Genomic DNA, 18,000 nt, shown 5'->3' with positions numbered 1-18,000 from the left:
ATGCCCTGAACCTCTCTTTAGTGGGTGGTGGTTGCTTAAGTGACTTGATCTTGCTTCATCACATCCAAGGGTGTTTGTACCTTATGTTGGCTGCCAAGCCCAGAGAGCTGAGAGGGACTTGCTGGGGGTGCTTTGTTTCCAAGTTAGATTTGTGGGACTTGAAGGTAGACACAGTAGCAAAGATTGTGGCAGGACTACGAGACTGATAGGGTGTCCTCTGGGAAGGGTGCATGCCTCCCCAAGGGAGACAGAGCCATTCCTCCTTCAGGACAGTTCCGTATGACCCTGGATATTCATGCCTGGGACCTCCCTATATGAGCTGCATGGGAAAGAGTGATGGCTGCATCTCTCTGTGCTTTCCAGTGCAGGTATTTTTATAACTCCCTCCAGACATCTAAAATTTAATTTCACCCTTTTCTGAAGCTTCAGCAAAAGGTGCCACCCTTACCTTTCTAAGATACTCCCGTGTCCACTGTGAGGGCCAATGCTGATTGCGACTGCCAAAATTCATCTACTCAAACCGGTACTTTTCTCTGACTGTTCCCATCATGTTGAATTACAGCCATGAGCGAACACTTGAGTAAGCTGAGCAAATGGCTGGGATAATTCAGCCCTTGTCAGCCATCTCTGAGGAGCATAGGACGATCTGTAAGCTATTCCAGATGTCCGTGATTGTGCTGTGATTAGGGGCTGCGAGTTTGGGGATGAGCACCAATGTCATGTTGCATTGCCCACCTCCCAGCGCTGGCTCCCGCACATGTTCCAGCCCTGTCCAGCCTGGCCTGGCTTCTAGCAAGGCTGTGAGGGAACCCGGGAGAGGAGGGCTGCTGCTGTCTTCAGGGAAAAGGAAAAAAGGGGGTGACCATCACGTGCACACTCAGCATGGCTCTGGCTCCTTTGCAGTGCAGATCTCCTAAGCAAACATGACCTGCCAGTCCCGAGTGTGAAACTAGAGCCTCACTTTCTGAAAACCCGTGGAATCGGTCCCTAATTGGCAGCTGCCTCCAATAGCCCCTTTATAGTTCTCTGCATCTGGGTGAACTTCAGCTATCAAGAACTGCATTCTGTTTACCATTAATTTTGATTTTGTGTAGCAGATGTTTTCTGGATCTCTCAGTTCCCTGCCTAATCTATCTTGGTATAATGTGAAGTGGCTGACTGTCTTCAATGAAACAGATTAATAAACTCCTAGGTTATTTTGGGGTAACTTCTTTAATAGCTGCAGATGTAGGGAATTTAAAAGGGAGCCATCCAGATTTGACAGTGCCTGGAGCCGTGGGTCTTTTTCAATTCAAGACTGCCATCTGGGGAAAGAGATGGCTTTTCCTTCCCCCATGCCACCCTCTCTCACATGCAGTGAGGCACTGAGTGTTCTTCTACAGTCACTGGGCTCAAAGAAGTTGAGAGTGACATCTATCTCCTGTCTCCCAACCTCACAGAAATTGGCTCTTTCTGGGTTGCGTTGCCTTGTTTCAGCTGCTGGGAAACTATATTGTGCTTAGTTGCCTGAAGTTGAATGGGAAGTGCATGGTGCACCTAGCCGATGTGTCCTGCTTAAGTAGTGATTTGGTGCCCAGTTTTGATCATGACCAATTGGTAGGCAGCTTACTCACAGTGTGACTTCAGGTAAGTTACTCAACCTTACCTGAAAAAGGATGCGGATAGTAATAGTACAAACCATCAGTCCCAATTCTGAGTTGTAGAAACCCAACTTGTGCTGGCTGAAGCCTGAAAGGCCTATGAAGCTGCAGAATCTAAGGGTGGATCTGGCTTCAAGAACAGCTGATAAAAGGATTCTCACACTCATCCTGTCCTTCCTTCTCCTGGCACATTGGCCTCTTCCAGGTAGCCTTCCAGGATGGCCACAAGCAGCTGCAGCTCAGAGTCCTGCCTGCTCACCGTCTCAGAGGGTGAAACTTTTCCCCCAGAATGACACCAGAAAAATCCCCTCAGGGTTTGCAAAATCATCCTCATCCAGACCACAGGCAATGGTTTGGTCCTCAAAGGAAGATTCTGTGCAGGGATGTGTTCGGTGTCCACACAGCCTCGTGGACATATTGGGAGGGGTGACTGTGTGTGCAGACGCCTTGGCACAGGACAGGCAATGTTGGCAGTGCTCAGTGCATGGGTAATTTTTACTAGAGCTCTTACAGGCCTGGCCATAGACATAGAGGCCTTTCTCAAGTAAGCCAGTTCATTCTTCTGTCTCCAAGATGTGTTCATGAGACTCTGGATGTTGTGGCCTATTGACTTTTCCATGAAGAATTATTATTATTATTATTATTATTATTATTATTATTATTATTATTATTATTTTGAGTCCGAGTGTCACTCAGTCACCCAGGCTGGAGTGCAGTGGTGCGATCTCGGCTCACTGCAAGCTCAGCCTCACGGGTTCACGCCATTCTCCTGCCTCAGCCTCCCGAGTAGCTGGGACTACATGTGCCCACCACCATGCCCGGCTAAAGTTTTTGTATTTTTTTAGTAGAGACAGGGTTTCACTGTGTTAGCCAGGATGGTCTCTATCTCCTGACCTCGTGATCTGCCCGCCTCAGCCTCCCAAAGTGCTGGGATTACAGGTGTGAGCCACCACTCCTGGCCGAAGAATTATCTTAAACTTAGCCTATTCTGGTCCCTTTCCTCTGTCAGAGTCTTTCTTTAACTTTATGCTCTAATTCTCTCTTTCTACAATCAGAAGAACTAAGCCTTTAAGATGGTGCCTTTAAGAACTTAAAGACAAACGACCGGGCACGGTGGCTCACGCCTGTAATCCCAGCACTTTGGGAGGCCGAGGTGGCCAGATTGCAAGGTTAGGAGTTCAAGACCAACCTGGCCAGCATGGTGAAAACCCCGTCTCTACTAAAAATACAAAAAATTAGCCAAGCATGTTGGTGCATGCCTGTAGTCCCAGCTACTCAGGAGGCAGGAGAATCACTTGAACCCAGGAGGCAGAGGTTGCAGTGAGCCGAGATCACACCACTGCACTCCAACCTGGGAGATAGAGTGAGACTTAAAGACAAACATAAACTTCTCTCCCAAGATCAGGGGCTTTCTGAGCACTGGTGTCAGAAATCATCCTTAAGCATTACAGATATAAACCATCCCATCCTCTGGCTGAGCTCAGCTCTCTCCAGGGATTGGAGGCAGCAGGACCTTGTGGTGGATAGCTCAGGGCTCACGATGGATCTGCCAGTGATGCTATCCGAACCTGAGGTATGTAAATCCTCCCCAAGAGCCACAGCGCCACTCACCTGGTACCTGTAGCCTTTGCCCTGGGACAGCTCTCATGCTGCTGTGCAGGCACAAGTTTTGGAAACGCAGGGGTCAGATGTCTGCCTCCCAGGGTCCCCTGTCCCTGACACAGAGTGGGCACTGAAAAAGTGTTAGATGCCTGGCATGTCCCAGGGCTGACTTGGCTTTATGTCATCTCTCCGTTTCTCACAAAGGTCAGATCACAGATACAGGGCCTTCCAGGTTGTTTGACTGTGAACCCCATAGCTCCAGGATACCTGGTCCTATTTGCTGAGCTTGCTCTTCCCACCAGTCCCTGGGAATGCTCACTTTCCTTAACTACCATCCTCAGAGAGCTCCTCTGCCCTTTCTAACAACTTGTGGGTCCCTCTGCTAGAAGGAGCTTAAACTGTGTTCATGCACATGAGCTAAACCTCTGTGGTTATGACGGGCAAGCTATAGGTCGGTGTGGGCAGGATAATGAACCCCTAATCACTCGTGCTTGCCTAGCGGTCTCCTTAGAGGTTGCATTGCAATATTTGGGCATAGGTCACTATCTGGAATTTGTGGGGAAGAGTCACATTGTCGAAGAGGTCATGACCCCTAAAGGGTATGAACCACTGCACATTCCTAAGGACCAAAAGACAGGATGGTGTCAGCCAGCCTGAAGCACGCTGATCCTGCCCCTCCAGGACAAGTGGAGAGAGATGATGGTGCTCCCTGTATACCTGCTGAGGTCCCCACCCTACCCAGGAGACTCACCCTCATCTCTCAGATCCCAGCAGAAGTTAAGCTTGACATTTGTCATCTTCGTTACTTGACCAGTCCCCAAGCCAGAGGCATTTCTTTGCTTTTCAGGAACCCTTGAAATTATCTTCTTCATATAAACACTGAAGCCCTTTTCAAACCTCATTAAGCTATTTGCCCCAGCATATTAATGTGCTATCCACCAGCCTCTGGGGTTAATTATCTGTGAGTTAAAATCATTTGTTTCTGTCTCTTTTATCTCATTGCTGCTTGGCAATCTTTCTTTATTAGGAAACGAAGTACAGGATGCAACTGACCATTATGTTCTAATTCTATTCTTTTCATCAAAATGAGTTCATCTTTTAAAGCTCTTTTGTAAAAAACAACAAACCTGTCTTTTCATTATTTTAAGATTGTGTTGTTTTTTTAACAAATCTTTAATCTCTCTGCTTCAGCTGGAGCAGAGCCAGGACTGGAAATAATCTGTAAGGGGAGACCTCTCCTCTAAATCAGCAAGACCTGCCAACACTCTCTCTCCTGATTGGCCTCACTCACTCTGCATTTGGCCCATTTCTCTCCTGTGGCTGTGGTGAGGGCTTCCAAGGTGTACAAGTTGGGCTTGGTGAATAAGCCACAGTGTCTTGGCAGATCAGGCAACCAGGGTTGGAAAATCCTGTGCATTCTAACGCACCCCACTGGTCTCTACATGCTCTTATTTGGGTTATATTTCTTGGCCAAGGTTGCCATTGGGTTCCAAGAAATGCGTCAGGGCCTGCATTAAAAAGAAAAAAAAAAACAAAAACCTTTTCACAAAATGTTGAATGTTGCTTTGAACTCTCCAGGAAGTCAGGGAGCGTGTGTCCCAGAAATGAGCAGGTAGGATGGGCACTGGCTCCATGGAGACAGTGACCCACAGCCTTCCGGGATAAGAGTGCAGCCAATAGTGGGGAGACCTGGGCCGGGGTCTGAGCGCAGTCAGTGCAGTTGGATGGTGCACAGAGCTGGTTCTCCCATGTACTGCAAGCCAGTGATTGCCCCTACCCTGTTCTTCGGGGCTCCAGCTTCTCAGCTCCATTCTCTGCCCCTCAATGGCTCTCTCACCTCATCAGTGCCTCAAAAACAATATCTGGGACTCTAGTTTGATAACTACTACTTGCATTGGAGAAATGACTCCTCTGGAAAGGTGAATACGATTCTCAGAGTTTGTTGAGGTTTTATTGGTTGCTTATAGAAGTTTCCTTGGGCTGATTGGAGTTTGGTGTGCAGAGATGACCCGGCATAGTCCCTGCCCTTATAGATGAGTCAGTTGAGAAGATGCCCAAGCGTCCTGCAGACAGATGTCTACCTGGTGTACCTGCACCATGGCCAGCCACCTCTCAGTTGGGTCCGCAACATAGAGAGAGCATTTGTTCAGTGTAATTGATGTTGGAATCTGGGAGAACAACTCTCTGAATGTTCTGGTGGAGGTGAAGTTTCAGGATCTTTTTTCCAAAGCATGGCTGTCTCAGCAGAGGGTCCCCTTTGACTTTTAAGGGCACACTGTACCAGTGGTGACGTTTTTGTTGCAAATAACAAACCCCAACCCAACTAGCTCAAACAAAAAGAGGACTTATGGCTTATGTAATTGGATAGTCCAGTGAGGGTGGAAGGTGAGGAGTGCTGGGCTTCAGATATACTTGATATGGAGTGTAAGGACCTGGCTTCTCCCTCCATTTTGCCCCTCTCTGGGGGTTCCCCTTCATGGTGAGTGCCAGCCTCCCCTCCTCACAGCTCCAGGTCCAGTGGAAGACAGATGGCCTCTAGTCCAGTGTATCCCACAAAAGTGCTAAAGCTCACTGGGATTGGACAGACTCAGGTCATGTGATTCATGCACTTAATTAATGCTGTGTGCTGTTGGGTTTCCTGAAGTCACCAGCCATACCGCTGGTCAGGATATCATGAAGTGAGAGTGGGAGGAAGGTGGATCCCCAAATGGCAATTGGGTCTGAATAAGGGACACAGAAGCAGGAAGGTAAAAGGAAATTCTCTAAGCATATTAACGTCTACTTAATGATTTCACATCTGGGTGTCTCTCACTCTCCACCCCTAAAAGGATTCTGAGTGCCTGAAAAGCAGGCTAAGAATCAGCAAACATTCACCTAGCGTTTCAGGGGGGAGGTGCTCTCTTCTGTCTTCAGAAGGAATCCAAGGCTAAGAGATTAAGCAGTTGACCCAAGGTCACAGAAGCTTCTAACAGAGTGTGAGTTTGAACTCAAGTCCCTGATGACAAATAAAGGGCACTTTTTTGTTGTTTCAAATCACAGCTGCCTCCAGCGATTGGGTTCTTTCACCTTGTTCTTTTGCCCTGTCCCCTAGGGTAGCTGCAGGAGGTACCTGGGGAGGTGCATCAAGCATTCACCAGCCGAAACTTGAGAGGGGTTTTACCCCAAACATGACATCCTTTCTTTAGCACTTTAGCCAAAGCACATAAGGATGAAAAGCAAATGAACATCAAATGATGAAATCACCCAAAATAGAGAGAAAAGTGAATGAGCAAGCCCCTCACCTGGCAGTGGCTTCAGTCCTTTCCTTGATGATGTTTGTCAGAAGCTTTTATTTTCCACTTTTCCTAAGAGATCACCCTCTTTCTTGGGAAGGGGTTGGTGGAGGCTCGCTGGGCTGGCTGCTTCTAAATGGGCATGGGGTGGCAGACAGGAACACAGGATGGGGGATGGACCTCACCTATAACCAGGGCTGCTGTTCAGGAGCCCTGAACTTTTTGCAACCTCTGCCTCCTGGGTTCAAGCGATTCTCTTTCCTCAGCCTCCAGAGTAACTGAGATTACAGGCATGCACCACCACGCCCAGATAATTTTTGTATTTTTTGGTAGAGACGGGGTTTCACCAAGTTGGCCAGGCTGGTCTCGAACTCCTGACCTCTGGTGATCCACCTGCCTCAGCCTCCCAAAGTGTTGGGATTACAGGTATGAGCCACCGCACCCCGCCAGGAGCCACTTTTTAGTAAGTAATTTCCTATGTGTCCACACATTCAAGACAATTTAGAGGCAAAAGTTTTAGTCCTTTACTATAAATTCTGTAGATTGGAAATGGAAACATTTTCACATTCAACTTCTTATTTAATCTTCATAAACAACCTCTGAGATAGGCATTGCAATCTTATTTTGTAAATTTAAAAAATGAGGACCTTTTGTACTCTGTAGGAAATTGATCAAAGAATTAAAATGGGCTTCACTGAGGTCATTCAGGAAGATACATTCTGTGGGAATCTGATAATGTTTGTGTAATTCTGATTGAAATATTCGTATTCAAAAATGTGGATTCATTGTTCTACAGTCAGCATGCCTGCAGAGTCAGAGGTCCTGGGACCTCCCCCAACCTCCCATCTCGGGGAGCTGTGTCTTGCTGCTGCTACCAAAGGGGAGTAGAGAACCCCAACTTCAGAAGAAATAGGCCTGTAAAAAACCCACGGGTCTGGGCAATGCGTTGTGGGGGGTAAAAATATATTTCAGTCTATTCGCTTTACTAATTTTAGCAGTTATTTGCTCTCCCTTTTTGCTGGAAGCAACATTCCCATCCAGCTGCTTGGCTGCTTCATTTGAATTTTTATCATTTGTGTGAGCCCCTGCATGTTTGGACACAAAATGGGAGTCCTGTGGCTCAGAGGGGACGTTGATTTGATAGGGTCAGATCTAATCTCCTGCTCAGAAACTTCAGCGGAAAATAAAATGAGTTGAGGTTTCTGTTTTGTGTGTGTGTGTTTATTTTTTAAAAACAGTAGGCCTGTAAAGCTGTGCTGGCATATTACTTTTTTCCCCTTTATACGGAATTTAAAATAATACCTTACATTCAAATAGTGTAACCGGTGTGCCTTTTGCTCTCAAAGAGCTTTCCCATTTGTCCTCTCATTTAATATGCTCAAGAAAGCCTGTGAGTTGGGAAGAGTGAAGATATGGTCATTGGTATTTGACAGAGGAGGAGACTGATACTCAGAGATGGCAAGGGACTTGCCCCGGGTCACACAGCTAATTGAGGCAGAGTTGGAGATTATAGCGTCCAGTTCTGTATTACTCCCACCAAGGCTTCCTCTGAAAATAAGAGTTTATGGCAGAAGTTTTCAAATTAAGACCCAATGGGAAAACACAGAATTTTCAGTCCTGTTTTGGTTCTTTTAAAAATAAATTATTGTAAAGATGACTTCTCTCATCTGTCAATGTAATGATCCCATACCTGGGGTATTCAAAATATTCAAAATGTGTATGGAGGAAATGGTAAAAGTTAATCATTTTCACAGTACCTGTCTGTGGTGAGGTTTAATTATCACTTGACATATTTCATGGTTTAAAATGATGACAGTTTAAAATAGAGCCAGAGAGAGCCAGAAAAATCCATTCATTATCATGTGTCAGGTGCTACATTGGAATAACCCCCAAATACAGATGGTCCCTAGACAGATGATTCTGCAGCATTTTCTGATAGCTACAGATGTCCCTGCTACTGAAACCCAGACTGAGAATACCATTCTGACCCTGCCGTCAATATGCAGAGGGTGCTTGGGTGAATCTAGCAGCGCGGTTTGATTCTCGTACCGCATCGCAGATGCTAAACTCCCCCATGCTCTCTCCAATCCAAACCTCTCACTGGTCTTCTGCAGAATTTCTAATGAACAAGATAATTCATTGTGAGTGTGCTTTGAATGAATGAATGAATGCTATTTAAACTACAAGGTGACAGATATTTCCATGTGCCTCTTAGGAAATTGCATGCCTTTCCAAGAAGACAAGGTTGAAAAGCAGCTTGTTGTTGTTGAATAAGCTCAGCACTGTCTGTCTGTTTAGGAAAAAATAAATAATTGTTTCTTGCCCACGAGAATTCTGGAAGTGGAGCTGTCCAGAGCTGACCCGTCTGTCCACATTTCAAATTTCACTTTGGAGAGTCCTGGGAGAGGGAGCAGATGAAGCCATTTCAGAAATGTAAATGCTGTTTGACATCTATTAGCTCAATGCTCATCCATTGCTGACAGCAGGATCCATTAGGACGCGAGTGTCATGGATCAGAGACATTTGAAATATAGCGAGAAACATGCTACCCGCAGCAGAGGCCCATGTAGATGACTTGAGAGAGCACTAGATGTGCCCACCACTGTGGTCCAGGCACCTCCCCCCCATCTCCCCAGGCTCTCTGTCTGGATTTCCCAAAGGTCAGCTGCGTAGCCAGTCTTCACGACTGCACTCTGTCCACCAAGCAGCCTGCCTGAATGCTGGGCATGGCGGTGACCATTCCCTCCTTGCAAGGTCGGGCTTGCTTCTAGTCTCTACCATTCATGGAATCATCCAAATGATCCAACTCCAGATCAAAGGCCCCACAGGGTCACCCCTTATTTGTATAGATGAGGTAGGCTTGAACAGGTACAGTGACGTGCCTGAGGTCCCAGGGGGCTAGTGAGTAGCAGAGGAGGGATTTGGGGCTCTAAGCCAGTGCTCTTAGTTCTCAGGGCTCTCTGGGTTGTTTTTCTTGCTTCCTTTCCTTGCCTCCCACCCCTGAGTCCAGGTTCTCCCTTCTCTGTAGGGTGGCACAGTGTCCAACATATCCCAGAGACTTAGCCGCCATATCCTAGTGATGGGGGTCCTGGCTAACTGAGTTTTCTAGTTAAGTTCTATGTTTTGACTTTCGTTTAAGTTATTTCTAAGTGTTTTGTTTTCCTGCCTTAGGGGATCGGAGATTATATGGGAGGGGGCACATGATGACAACTGTTGTTATTAAAGCCTCCACCATATGCCATATGCTATGCTAAGTTCACTTATTTTAACACTCACAATAGTCCAATGTAGCCAGATAGTGTGATATTCTGTTTTAGAAATGAGAAGACACAGCTTTGAAAGGATTTGTGATTTGGTTTGCTGGGCGTTTCAGTAAGTTGGTGACTTATTTATTGACCTCACTGTACCTAAATATTCATTCCTTTGTGGTGGGATGTCCCTGTGTCTTGCTACTGTAGCTTTGCTAGGACCCTTGTCCTGAGGACTCTCAGCTCTAAGGCAAGTCTGCAAGGTCACTTCTAAATGGACAGTCCTTGAAAAGCTTAGGAAGAGCAGGCGCATCCATAGCTGTGCTTGATGGGAGGGGAACATGTGGAGGACAGAGGGAAATGGAAAAGAAACGTCCGAGACAAGACACTGAGAAGATGCTGCCATGCCTCGGAAAAGAGGGGAAGATGCTGGTCCAGGCTATTAGTCTTGGACAAGCCTAGGCTTCCTCCCTCTTGATACAGACTGTGGGTTCCGGGTACCGCGGGACTCACCCTCTCTCCCGCGCCCCCTGGAGGTCAGAGGGAGAGTTACGTTTTCCAGGCCCAGAGACCTGATGGCAAGAGACTAAGTAGCCGCTGCAGTTGGAGCACAGGGAACCGCAGGACCAGGAGACTTTACCCAGAGGTCGCTTGCCCTGAACCCTACAGTTGAGAATTCTGTGGCTCTTCTACCATGTGCAAGTGTCCAGAAAAGACTTGCACACATATATCTCTCCTATCTGCTGCTAATTCTTAGAACACCCACTGTTAGGGCTTCATCCCCTGTTTCTTTATGAATACCCCCAAAGTCACGTTGGGTCCTGAAAGAACAGCTGAACTTTCGTTGAGCCACATCATCTCCTACCTGGAAACTCACCAAGCCTGTCTGCCTCTTCATAAGAAAAGTAAGACAGGTTTCTCCTAAGACCCTTGAGCCCGATTTCTGTTCCATATTTGTTTCATATGACAGGTCTCAAACTGGTGGCTCGTGGGCCAGATTCAGCCTGCAGCCATATTTTGATTTATACCATCTTGGCCTGCAGAGGTTTTTTGTAAACATAAAAATATTTCAATATGAATGAGTTGCCATCGTTTGAAAATAAGGGCATTTTACCAACAGATTCAAATATCCAAATATACAGATGATCTTGGAAAGCAAAATGCTTTGATAACCCTGGGCCCACATGACCTCATGGCAGCAACAGGCTTGGGTGAGAGCAGCCGTGTCTCTGAAGGGAATACATGCTCTCCTGCTTTTCCACAGTCCTCACCACTCCCTAGTGCATTCCTCATAGCGAGACTAAGTGTGTTAGATACAGTTCTGTAGAATAAATATGACCAAGTAGAAATTCCAGAAGACCCATGCTCCTTAAATTACTTGTGTGGCCTCCATAGACATTTGAGTTTTCAATCCCTGTTTTGTACTAAGGTATAGAACTTGTTAATTATGGACCAGTAGAGTCAGATGTCAGTAAGGAGATGGGGGAGAGAGGAAAGTGGAGGGCAGGAGGGAAGGTGGGGAAAATTAGAGTAAAGGCTGAAGCAACCCTTTACCTCCTCAGCCCTCCTTGAATGTCTCTAATGATGCTGGTGTCTAGAAGTGGGTCCTTGCTTTAGGCAGTTAAATCTTCCATCATTCTATCTTATTTTTTGATATTTGTGCCTTAATCTATAAATATTCACTCTAGGCAGTAAATTTACAAGCAAGGTTCAAGCTTGGTAATTAATATTTGTGCCTCTCTATGTAAGTTATGTCTTTAAAATGAGGCAATTGCTTTAAGCATTTAAGACATTCCGCGTATATTGCAGAGTAATTACTTTCCAAAGATATTTCCAACTGATATTTTGTTACATCTAAATATACATTTACAGTACTCAGTAGACCAGAATAGCTCTAATTTATATATTTGGTCCACTGGGTTAGAAAAAGAGACATTTTAAAAGTATGTTTTTAATCAGTGTGTTTATCCCAAAGATACTGTTGGCTCCTCCAGAATCACACGATTTTATAAAAAATAATAAATGTGGTGTGTTCTCTGAGCTGATTTAGACTTTAATGAGAGATGACATCTCAGCGGAGCATGAGCATGGCTAACTTTTAATCCGGGCTCCGAAGTGTTCTAGAGCTTGGAGGAACTTATTAACTCCCTTGGTGTCATTTTCTTAATGTACAAAATTCAGATGATAAACAGTTACTGCCCTTGTGCAGTGAGAATTAATGCTTTCTGAGTCGCAGTATTGTTTTGATAAAATAGTCTTAATTGTTTGCTTTGTACATTTTCTGCTTTATTATTTTTATTATTTCTCTTGCCTCTGTAATTGGTCGTTATTGGGTTCCCATTATTTCTTTATTAGTCATTTTATAAAAGCTATCTTGTGATTTATCCTCCCTCCCACACTTGCTGTTCCCCCAAGTATCGTAAACAGAGGCAAGACCCAGGCAAACAAAGCTGGTGGTATTGTTGGTTGCTTTGAGTGGCTCGCCCGTTGTCTTTAGGATGGTTCATTCCCAATTGCTTGACTGCTATGAAAGAACTTATATGAATCCCAGGAGGTTTATTAGAAACATGTTCTAAGTAATAGTAAGAAAGTTGGATTAACAGGGTCTGCATGGAAACTCTAACCTCCCTCCCTAAAGGAGGAGAGGAGCAAGATGAGTCTTTCCAGCTTGGGGCAGGCATCGTAAGTGTACAATGACCACATAATATGGCACACTATATAAAAGGACAAGAAAATCATCGCTCATACAGTGAAAAGAAGCCAAACTCCATTCTACCTAAAAGTTGGCTTTCTATAACATTTCCAGCCACCATTACATTGGGACTTTATCCTACTCTTATTACTCATATGATCTCATTGAGTTGAGAGTTGTCTCCTTCTGTGTTCTCTAACTATTCAGTGTAGTTTTTCAAAATTATACAGCCAGACATTCTGAGTATGATCCAATGTACTGGTTATATTACTTTGAACAAGTTATTTAAACTTCTGTGCTTTGGTTTTCTCACATCTAAAATAGTGGTGATAGTTCTATCTACCTCCTATGGCAGTTGTATGGATTAAATGCATATTAAAAAGCTTAGCATAGCACTGGCCCACCTTCTGAGTAGGCTCTATATTAGCCATCATTGTTAGCTATTATTCACCCACAGTTGGGGCTGGGGTTGCCTGGGGTTGTGACTTCTAATTCTAAGTGGGCCTGTAGTATGGGGGACTAGGATGTCTTTGGTGAATACTTACTGAAATGCATTGGGTTAGAAAGCCTTGGATTTAACTGGACCAATTTATTTTCTTTCCTCAAAACTGAGTAATCACATTTATCCACCATTTCAGAAAGAGTAGATACTAATAACATGAAAATTTTAGAACTATTTATGCAGCTTATTGTTTCTGGCTATATGGGAGGCTAGATAACTTAGCTGACTCTCCCACTTAAAACAATTTTAAATAATGGATAAAACATTTAAGCAATCCTTTAAATACCTCAGTGAGAAAGCAGGAACTAAAGATTCATAAGAGGCCAAAAACTCAGAGAAAGTTGGGTTCTAAAGCAGACTTTTGCTTTGAGAGTATTTGCCCAATGCAGGTGACCTTGAACTCTGATTGTTACGACCTCAAGAGATATGGGGACAGGAGTCAAGCCTAGGGCAGATCAGTCTGTTAGAAAACCTCCTCTACATAAAAGCTGAGACCCCAACAGACCCCAGTAGGCTACCTCTCTAGTGTAAGGATGAAATAAAAATAAACATGCCCTGTCTTCTCTCAAGGATGTGTGAAGAAAATTGCCTGCCTTAAACCTTGATGCTGAGTGGGAGCCAAAATGTTTCCTCTGAGAACAGGAACCACAAGCTAAGCTTTCAGTAGAATTCATATAACAGACTAGTCTGAGAAAGCCTCAGCCAAGAATTTTGCTTGAAACAGTCCTGGTTGATAGTGTTCCTAGGTACATGGTAGAGCAAACACAAATCCTATGTAAAAGAACTCTTCTTCAGTATTGGCCTCAAATAATTTTGACAGTTTTCCATCCAAGGAATATGAGCTCCCAGTTAAAATTTGTAAAAATGAAAGGATGCAAAACACCAAAAGAAGAGCCAGCAGAAAGGAACTATGAAGACCAGATAATAGAATTAACATTTAAAAAACTGTGCATGCTGTGTTATAAGCAATAAAAAGGGAGCTGAAAATATAAACAAAGAATAAACCTATAGAAACTATCTTGATTATTTGAAAAATAACCAAATAGAATTTCTAGAAATTAAAAAAGGTAATTGAAATTTTAAAAATCAAAGGATAGACTTCAGAGCAAACAGGGCATAACTGAAGAGAACTGGAAGATACATCTGAAAATGTAACCAGAATGCAAGGAGGAGACAAAGCTATCAAGGTTAGGAGGCAAGGAGACTAGGATAAGGAGGACTCAGTCATTTGTAATTGGGGTTAAAGAGAGAAAACAGGAAGAGTAATATTGGAAGGGATAATGGTTGAAAAAAGTTTGCAAAACTAAAGGAAGACAGCTATCCTCAGATACAGGAAGCCCAGTAAATCCCAAATAGGATAAACAAAAAGAAACGTAAGGCTATCTACAACAAAAACTTGCAGAATACTAAGGACAAAATGATAACCCTCAAAGTAGCTAGAGAGAAAAAACAGATTACTTATGAGAGACTTATAGTTTATTTCCCAGTAGAAATCAGAAAGCATTGGAATATCTTTAATATGCTAAGAGAAAACATTGGTCAATCTAGAATTTTAGACCTATTAACCATGTTCCACAACACTCTTACTCTTATTTTCTGTTTTTTCCCTTCTTTTTTCCCCCTTCAAGCTTCAATCTACCTTTGAGTTCATTAACCTTTTCTTCAGAGTTTTTTTATGTTAATTCTAGCCAGTGAATTCTTAAAATTCAATATAATATTTTACAGTTCTAGATCCTTTTGATTCTGTCTTATGGGTTCCAGTTCTCCGTTGAGCTACTCTTTCTTTTCTTTGCCACACAGATGATAGTAATTTTGAAGTCCTCTGTCTGCTAATGCCAGTAGTGTTAGTATCTCTAGGTCTACCTCAACTGATGATTTTATCTCATGATTACAGGTTACCATTTTTTGCTGTTCATGTTTAGACTTTGTTAGGAGATTTTTTTTTGGTTTCTCCCTCAGTTGTAATGTATAGGCCTTATTCCTAGGATATGATTCTTACCCATAGGACAAAGCCTTTTTGTGTAGTCTGAATATCAACTAGTATGCTGCAATTCATTTCTGCCACTAACCCCCTGGAGTTAGCAGACACCCTAAGTTAAGGACTCAGTCCTCTATAAGACTGCTCTCACTTCAAACGCTAACCATAGGTTCAGGGTTCCCCCAAGTCACCTGCATTTCTGACCTACTGACTATAAATTCTTGACTATAAACACTGACCATAAATCCTTTCCATGACACCCTTAGGTTTGATAATTCATAGAGTGACTCACAGAACTCAGAAAAGTTCTATATTTTTGACTACCATTTTATTGTAAATGACACAGATGAAGCCAAATGAAGAAATACATAGAGCAAGGTCTGGGAGGGTCCTAAATGCAGAGCTTCCATGCCCACTTCCCATGAAATCAGGCTACATTGTTCTCCTGGCACATCAGTGTGTTCACCAACCAGGAAACTCTTCTGAGCTTAGGTGTCCAGGGCTTTTATTGGGATTTTATTTTGTAGGTATTATCACTTTAATGATTGGCCGGGTAACTTTAATGATTGGCCATGTAATCCAGCTTCCCCTCTTGTCTTAGTTAATTTTCTGGTGCTATAAGGGAATACCTGAGACTGGTTAATTTATTTATTTTTTTAAAAAAAGAGGTTTATTTTGGGTCATGATTCCAGAGGCTCAGGTTGCCAAATCTGATCATCTTCTGGTGAGGGTCTCATGCTTCATCATAACATGGGGGTGAGCTGAGTGCTTGCCAAAAGGGCAAATGCAAGGACAGCCTCACTTTATAGCAACTCGCTTTTGTGGTAATTAATCCAGTCCCATGAAGGGGAGGACTCCCACATTCATAAGAATTAACCCAGTCCTGTAAGAGCAGTGTTAATCCCTCTTAACAACCCAATCACCTCTTAAAGCCCCCATCTCCCAACACCACCACACTGGGGACCAAATTTCTAACACATGAATTCTGGGGGACACACTGAAACCATAGCATTTCACACCTGCCCCCCAGAATTTCATGTTCTTCTCACAATGCAAAATACAATTATTCCATTCTAATAGTCCCAAAGGTCTTAACTTGTTCCAGCACAAACTCAAAAATCCAAAGTCTTACCTATGAGCAGCTTGTGGAATCAAAATGAGTTATCTACTTCCAAGATACAATGAATGGACAGGTATAAGATAGACATTTCCCTTCTAAGAGAGAGAGAGAGACAGACAGACAGGCAAGAAGAAAGGAGTATCAGGCCCCAAGTAAGTCCAAAGCCCTACAGGGAACAACATTAAGTTTTGAGGCTGCAGAATAATCTTCTTTGACTCCATGTCTCACACTTCAGCTCTCCCAGAATGGTGTTGCATGCTGTAGCTCCATGGTTCTGAAGTCTTTATGGTGATTCCATTCCCATGGCTCTACTAGGCATTACTTAATGGGGGCTCTCTGCAGTGGCTCAATCCTTCTGACAAGTCTCTTCCTGGGCCCCCAGGGTGTTCACAATATCCTTTGAAATCTGGGGGGAGGAAGCCATGCCCCCATATCTCTTGTATTCTTCATGCCTGCAAAATTGATGCCACTTGAATGTCACAAAGGTCAACTTGTACTTTCTAGAGCAGTGGCACTAGCTATACCTGAAGCTGTGGCTGGGTTGGCAGAGGAGTGCTACGCTGGAATGTGGGGAACAGAGACCTCAGGAGGCCCTGGGAAGCAAGCCTGTGGAGGGTGCCCTGGGCTCATTTCCTGAAACCATTCTGCTCTCCTATGCCTGTGGGTGTATGATGCAAGGAGCAGCCTTGAAGTTCTCTGAAATACCTTCAAGATCTGTCTTCTATTGTCTTGCTTATCCCTTCTGTCTATACTAATCTCCTTAACAAAAGATTGCTGGACCACATCTTTGGTTTCCTCTCCTGAACACACTTTTTCACTCTTTTTTTTTTTTTTTTTTTTTTTTTTGAGACAAAGTCTCGCTCTGTCAGCCAGGCTGGAGTGCAGTGGCATGATCTGAGCTCACTGCAACCTCCGTCTCCTGGGCTCAAGCAATTCTCCTACCTCAGCCTCTCAAGTAGCTGGGATTACAGGCACGTGCCACCACGCCTGGCTAATTTTTGTATTTTTAGTAGAGACGGGGTTTCACCGTGTGGCCAGGCTGGTCTCGAACTCCTGACCTGAGGTAATCCACCCACCTTGGCCTCCCAAAATGTTGGGATTACAGGCATGAACCACTGCATCCAGCCACTTTTTCACTCTTTATGTGGCCAGCCTGAGAATTTTCCAGGTCTTTCCACTTTGCTACCCTTTTGATTATGAGTTTCATCTGTAAGTCACTTTTTCCTCTCTCACTACTTAATGTAAGTGGTTAAAAGTAGCCATATAATAGCCTGAATACTTTGCTGACACTTAGATATTTCTTCTACCATATATTCTAATTCATTGCTCTTAAGTTCTACAGTCCATAGAGCCCTAGGGCATGAACACAATGTAGCCAAGTTCTTTACAACTTTATAGTCTTTACTCCAGTTTCCAATACCTTGTTCTTCAGTTCCATTTGAGACCTTGTCAGAGTGGCCTTTACTGTCCACATATCTGTGAACATTCTGGTCATGACCATTTAGATAATCTCTGAGAAGTTCTAGACTATCCCTAGTTTTCTCTTCTGCACCTTCACCAGAATTACCCTAAATCCTCCATTCATGGCAATATAGGCTTTTTCTAGCATTCACTTTTTTGGAACAATTTTGGAACAATTCACAAAATTGTTCCATTGTCTAGTTCCAAAAGCTGCTTCAACATTTTCAGGTATTTGTATAGCAGTAGCCCCACTTTTTGTGTCAATTTTCTCTTAGTCCATTTTCTGTTACTATAACTAAATACCTGATAGTGGGTAACGTATAAAGAAAAGAGGTTTGTTTTGGCTCACAATTCTGGAGGTTGAGAAGTCCAAGATCAGGCAGCCACATCTGGGTGACTTCTGGTGAGGGCTTCATGCTGCATCATGACATAATATAGTAGGGAAGTGGGTGGGTGTGAAAAGGGGAAAACTCAGGGAGAAGCCT

The 18,000-nt window shown here is 43.9% G+C and overlaps 1 protein-coding gene across 3 annotated transcripts in view, besides 1 other annotated feature; it reads left to right on the top strand.

Annotated features, from left to right (window-relative positions):
- FSTL4 (follistatin like 4) overlaps nt 1-18,000 on the top strand; it is a 645,613-nt gene that overhangs the window by 278,662 nt on the left and 348,951 nt on the right. The gene's annotated exons all lie outside the window — the stretch shown is intronic.
- Nucleotides 10,288-10,367: a silencer, noted in NCBI's record as "silent region_16346". NCBI's record gives its function as "represses an Ori minimal core promoter by ATAC-STARR-seq in GM12878 lymphoblastoid cells {active_cell/tissue: GM12878}" and the evidence as "EXISTENCE:reporter gene assay evidence [ECO:0000049][PMID:35858748]".

The sequence above is a fragment of the Homo sapiens genome, chromosome 5, assembly GCF_000001405.40.
Source record: "Homo sapiens chromosome 5, GRCh38.p14 Primary Assembly".
In the NCBI taxonomy this organism is placed as follows: domain Eukaryota; kingdom Metazoa; phylum Chordata; class Mammalia; order Primates; family Hominidae; genus Homo; species Homo sapiens.
The sequence above is the reverse complement of the archived record's forward strand: the minus strand, read 5'-3'. Positions and strand labels throughout refer to the sequence as shown.